At 35.9% G+C, this 6,664-nt stretch overlaps 2 annotated features.

Annotated features, from left to right (window-relative positions):
* Window positions 692–771: an enhancer, noted in NCBI's record as "active region_16840". NCBI's record gives its function as "activates an Ori minimal core promoter by ATAC-STARR-seq in GM12878 lymphoblastoid cells {active_cell/tissue: GM12878}" and the evidence as "EXISTENCE:reporter gene assay evidence [ECO:0000049][PMID:35858748]".
* Window positions 842–891: an enhancer, noted in NCBI's record as "active region_16841". NCBI's record gives its function as "activates an Ori minimal core promoter by ATAC-STARR-seq in GM12878 lymphoblastoid cells {active_cell/tissue: GM12878}" and the evidence as "EXISTENCE:reporter gene assay evidence [ECO:0000049][PMID:35858748]".

The following is a 6,664-nucleotide window of genomic DNA, read 5'->3' on the forward strand; positions in this document are numbered from 1 at the left end:
ATTCTGGTTTGCCCTAATCTGTCCTGTCCAGTTTTCCAGGGAAATCCTTGTTTGCCAGAAATGTTCTTTGCTGCTTTGTCAATTGAATTAGAAAGGAAACAGAGTGTAGCACAAGGATTGAAAGATTTAGATTAGGGTGAGGTGTGTGGGTTTGAAGGAAAGAACATTTGGTATGAGAAGTCTGAGGCCAGCTGTATAATAGGAGGAAAGAAGATAGAAGAGAGGGCATGTTAAAAATACCTCAATGACTAATATATCAACTTCAAACTGCTGGAGAGAAGCAAGTGATGACATTGAGGTAATTTGATTCTACTTTGGTTATTAGTCTTAAAACAAATGCAATACCCCAACAGTGCTCTGAAAACAGAGCATGTGAGTTATCCCTCTAATATCTTAAAATAATGTTTTTCTTAGATTTGTTTTTGGCTCAAATTGACCAAGTTGTTGCATTGCAGACAACTTATATAAGATGTAGTTTTAGTCAGTTTTGCATGATAAGTCTGCTTAACAAACAACCCAGCAATGCCAGTAATTTACAACAAGAGACACTGTCTCACTCACAGGTCTGGCAGTTGGCTGGAGTGGCTTTCTTTAGTCTGAAACTCAGATTCATGTCTGCTCCACATGTCTCTCATTCTAGGACCCAGGCAAAATCTGATGACAGATGGCAGAAGCACAAAAGCACAAGGCAAACCATTTGAGCTAATTTAAAGCCTCTGATTTGATGCATCACAGATTATATTCACTCACATATGATTGGCCAAAACAAATCATATAGCTAAACCCATATTTGGAGAGACACAGGAGTTCACTTCAACAGAAAGGCATTAAAAAGCTGCTTGGAAAAGGGCGTGAATGAATAATTCTATTATAAGGAGAGAGTGGACAGCTGATAATAGTGATCCATGCTGGGGCTGGATCACAGGGAGTGAGTGGATAGCTGATAATAGTAATCTACATTGGTGCTAGATCACAGGGAGCACTTCCTTAAACTAGGTAGGCCTAAAAAGTTTCAGTCCTAACTCTAAATAAAGACTGCTCTCTATCTTGTTTTCAAACTCCCCTTCTACAACATCAAATCTTTGCTTGAGTTTTACCACTGTGATGGTAATAGAGAAATGGAATAGAGAGAAATGGGCGAAAACATGATAAGCCAAGTCTTCTACTTTGAAAACAGATCTACTACTTAGCATTTCTGTTCCATGGACAGAGGGAGTTAGGCTGAGGGCTATGTCCATATGAAATCTGGTGCCACATTGTGACTCCACCTATTATTTGTATGTGCTCCAGTCAGTGTAGTAGAAAATAATCCATAGCGACTTCTTATGGGGCAAAAATAGGGAGATAAGGTAGGGAAAGAAGCTCCAAACTTTCTTCCCTGCCTAGCAAATACACTGCAGAAGATATCTATCATTTTTGGCCTGCTCAACTTTCATTTTTACTTCTGGCAAAAGCATTATTGCTTTTTCCATTTACACTCTATGTGTTTTGAATGAGATGGAGTTGAACCCTGCTCTGTGAGTGGCCTTTTGACCAGGCTTAAGCAAACAGATTCCAAGGATTAATTTAGGGTTGAGTAGATGATCCAATCAGAGTTCTGAGGGTTAGATTCTAGGATTTTTCTTGGAACTGCTGAAGATAATATCCTTCTACCTGCCCCACTGGAGTTGCTCTTAGGATGATTTATAACCTGTGTAGTGTAGGCAGCTATCTTTCTACCTTGTAGGGGGAGCTAAGAATTTAACCAAGCCATAGCAATGTAGAAAATGTAATGGCACAAGCAAGAAAGCTTTTTTTGACATTGTTTTATTTTCTGTAGCTAGCCAGTCCTAAAAATACTCCTAGACATTCAAGTTATATGAGTCAATAAATGCACAGTTTTAATCAATTAATTTTGCTTGTTTTTTTTCTGTCATTTGCTACCAAATTACTTCCCGAATAGTTAATGTTAGTATCTACATTTTATCTAGTTAATGTTGGTATCTGGACAAATTTTGTATAGAAGATGCCTGAAATAAATATGAAGGCACACACAACTGAGAAGAAAATTTCCTACAAATTCATGATTTTATTTTTAGTGTTTTTTTCTATAATTCATTCCTACCCTTGTCTATGCCCAGTGAAATGTGTTTGTTGAATATTCTTATGTGAATAGAAAGTTCATTAATGCCACTAATTAGACATGGCAAAATGATTCAAATACAAACCACTGTCCCAAAAAGTTGCATTTAGAATAATTTTTTAAAAGAACATAATAGGTCGATGCAAAATAATTGCTGTTTTGGCATTTTAATTGCAAAAACCACAATTTTTGGACCAACCTAATATAAAGGTAATTATATAACAAATACTCCCTATGATCAAAAGATATTATGGAAGGTGACAAAAGCATTTTCTCTCAAAGAGGTATTGATACTTATGTGCAGATTTGGGCCATCAGAGGGCCTGAGTTTTGACCTGCTTCATGACTTTGAGGAAAATCACTCAGCTTTCTGGCCAGCAGTATCATCTACAAAATAAGGGACCTGAATTAAACCACTTCTAAAACTGCCTGTCTCTTTAAAATGCTATATGCTCTCCCACATTGCTCACATTAGTTTCACTTTATTATTTTTTATTGTTTTTAGACACAGGACTCACTCTGTTGCCCAGGCTGGAGTGCAGTGTTGTGATTATAGCTCACTGTAACCTTGAACTTCTGGGCTCAAGTGCTCCACCTGTGTCAATATCCCAAGTAGCTAGGATTACAGGCATATGTCACCATGCCTGGCTAATTTTTATGTTTTTTATTTTAGCAGATATAGGGTGTTGCTATATTGCCAGGCTGGCCTCAAACTCCTGATCTCAAACGGTTTTCCTGCCTCTGTCCCCCAACTCACTGGGATTATAGGCATGAGCCACTGCACCCACCCTAGTTTCACTTTAAATGGCATGTTTTCCTAAGTAAATGGAATATTACCTTTATATACTTATGTATGTCTGTAGTGTCTATAGAGTAAAATGTGTCCTTGATTTTACCTTTGGAGAAGTAATTCCATTCTTAAGCATGTGGAACCAAGTAAGGAAATCAAAGAATGACAAAGTGGCTTAATTTGTATAATCTCAACTTTGTCTCCTAAGAGAGTGGAGATAATACTGACCAATTCACTATGCATAATGTATCTCAACTCTGTGGCTCATGCTGACACACTCATAGTATTTATCTGAGGGAAGAAGAAAAAAAATATTATGCAATGGGTTGATGCCCCAATAATCATATTCTCAAGTATTTCAAGTACTTAATTATAAGCTAAACACTGAAACCTTGCTATAGAGAGGTGACTTCCTCTGGGACCAATACAAATTTATATTGTTACTGAACAAACTGGAGAACTTTGAAAAGTGGATTACCAAGAAATTTCTTAAGAACTAATTTTCTATACTGGATTAGTGAAGTTTCTTGTGGTTTATTAATTTGTATCCCCTTTAGAAATCTTTTTATTTATCTTATTACTTACCTTTGCTTGAAAAATCCTCACGAATCTTTGAGCTAAAAGAAAAATAAGAGGATTTTTCAAGGTTTCTTTGTTGCCTAATTCAATAAAAATTGGAGATAAGAAAATGCTATTAACATAGTTTTAAGGGTGTTTTTATTCTTGTACAAACTCAATGAGTATTAAAATATACACAAATTGTTAAAAGATTTAGATAAATATAGGAGCAAATTATCCTTATAAACATGAAGCCTGATGAAATAAACATGACTAATTTATATTTATTTGTTTCAAAAAGGAGTTGAAGTGGCTTACAATATGTGTAGGGAAAACGGCTAAAGCAAATAGCTGAGAAATTAAGTAAAGGAAAAATAAGAATAGGAAGATAACAAAAGCAGGGATTCATAGAACACAGGCAGAAATGCACATCAGAGGCCCTACTAGTTACTAGAAATATGCCACATTCAGCTCTAATTCACTCAAAGCCAGAAAAAAGTGAGGATCATGATCCAGTAGAAGATTCATCATGTTGGTAAGATAAATATAAACCTACTGTTACTCAGAAGACAGGTGTTTCTGAAACTGAGACTTGAATAATAGTTCTCCTATGAAATCTTATGGGCAATACATGATATTAAAAGACACTTTGATATTAGAGACAACATCCTTCATTTGAAGCATCATAATTAAGCCACAATACATTTGATAAAAGTTCTAAAAATAATATATCTTTGAGTTGATTGATGGTATAAAGTGGAGTTCAGTAAGAGTAATCCTGTGAAGCCAATATAGTGTAGCTCATTTGTATTGATATATCATCAAGCTATTAAACACCATACATTAACTATTATTATGGTGATATTTTTGGAGAATGATATATATTTCATGTTATAGACAATAAGCTAAATGACAGTCTACATTTTTAGTTATAGTGCATAAACTTTCATTTGTACCAGAGTGAGCTGGGTGCTATCTGGTATACAGTTAATTTCATAAAACACAAAGCATGCCAATTATCTGTTAGGTAGTTGGTTGTAACGATGAAAACTCCTGGCTGCTTGTCTCATGAGGTCAAGTTCTACTACTGTGCAGAAAGCACTCAGGATTACTGATACAGGCTGATGGGCCATTTTGTGTCCCCTACCCATCAGTAGCCCTCTTTAGAAGTAGATAAACAGGTAGTCTACAAAACAATCTAGAAGATACTTTACTCCATAGTGCTCTGCTCATAAGAGCTGCATTAGCTTTATTAACTGTGACTTAAATCATACATACACACACACATACACATGCAATCTAATAACCATCAATCTCTTTGAAAGTTCAATTTAAATAAAAATGGAGACATGAACTTTTTTCTAAAAATGTAAATTAATCCAAGTATACCGTGAGGGAGGAATACAGTATTGCTTATAAGCTTCACATAGGTGAAAAGCAGAAAATATCAGAAGTGATGAAATATGATGGCTGGTCTATGAGTTCATCTCAATGGAATTGAAAGCTTAGAAGGGGTTAAAAAAGTGAGCTGACAATATTTGCAGTGGCAATCTTGATTTGGGTTTGGCAATTTTGAATATTTTTGGGTGATTGGTTGTCTATAGTTGTGTTTCTTGCTATATGATCTCTATTTTAAAAAGTTTTTTGTAATTAACATATATTAATTTCACAATTAGGAACACTAATAATGACTGTGACTTCAAATTGCCCAACCTGAAAAATTTTAATAACAGGATCAGATTTAGTGATGTCATTAATAAACTTATGGTTGTTTCTGGAAATTTTAGCTAGAATGATATAGAATTAGAATATCTTTACCTCAGGGAAAGCCTGTGATTTTTATAGTAAAGAAGTAAAAGAAAGCATTTCCATTTCTCATATGAGATAAGTGCACTACAAGTCTTACTACTGTTCATTAATCTCTTTTTGAATCTTTTATACTATGTCAGAGTAGAAGGAATTCATGATTGGTTGGTGAGCAGTGTTAAACTGATGAGAAGTAGAACCCTGGAAAATGGGTAGAATTGAAAACGTTTCTTTCCCACGACCCCCTTCACCTTTGGAAACCCTATCTTTCAAACTCTATTTCTATTTTGGCACATTCTAGCTTCCTTGTGGTGGTTTATTTGGGGATGTCAACTTGACTGGATAAAGGGATAGCTGGTAAAGCACTATTCATTCTCAGTGCTTCAGTAGGCACTGAGCTTGTCCCTCTGCTGAAAGAGAAACCCAGGTGGCTTTGATTTTGATTAAAGATTGGGCTGACCCAGGTGTCTGTGGGGATACTTCCAGAGATTTCCATGTGAGTGGGTGGGTTGAGGGAGAAGATATGCCTTCAAATGAGTGGGCAATAGCCCAGACAAAACAAAAAGGCAAAGGAGGGAGAATTTTATTTTTTTCTCTCCCAGAGATGAGAAGTCCTTCCTCTGCCCTTGGACATCAGAATTCCAGACTTTCTGGCCTTTGGACTCAGAACTTGGCATCAGCAATCCCTGGGGCTCTTGGGACTTTGGCTTCAGACTGAGAATTATTCCATCAATTTCCTTGGTTCTGAGGCTTTGGGACTTGGCCTGAGCCAGCTACCAGCTTTCCTCGTTCTCCAGCTTGCAAACAGCCTATCATGAGACTTCTCAGCCTCCATGATCACATTAGCCAGTTCCCCTACTAAACTTCTTTTTATCTGTATATCCTGTAGGTTCTGTTTCTCTTGAGAACCCTTGCTAAAACCCTGAAATAACCTAAGTAGAGATAATAATTTTACTCCATTAGTTCTGAGGATGGTGTTGCAAGATGGTGCCCACCCCAACTATCTGTTTCTATTTTGACATCACAAGGGGGATGAAACATGAACAATCAACAAGTATTCTTAACCAAGTCATGGCAGTTCTATAAAAGAATTTAACATGATTATACTGACCAATAAATATGAAGTTTGCATTTTAATTTTGTGTAATTAAAATCTAGCTAAGTTGTTAAAACAATTTACGTGAGGTGAAAGTTTGTTTTTTTTTGTATTTATTTTTCTGAGTTTGACTAATCACAATCTTTGAAATTTATTTCTTCTTCTTTTTTTGTTGTTTTTTAAGCATGAAATGAAGCAGCAGGTGTATTTTTCTCAGAAAGCTCATCATCTAATCGGTCAATCTGTCTGATTATAATCGGTACTTATTATTTTTGAGGGAGAGGTAGGTGTA

This window comes from Homo sapiens, chromosome 2 (assembly GCF_000001405.40).
Source record: "Homo sapiens chromosome 2, GRCh38.p14 Primary Assembly".
NCBI classification, from domain to species: Eukaryota; Metazoa; Chordata; class Mammalia; order Primates; family Hominidae; genus Homo; species Homo sapiens.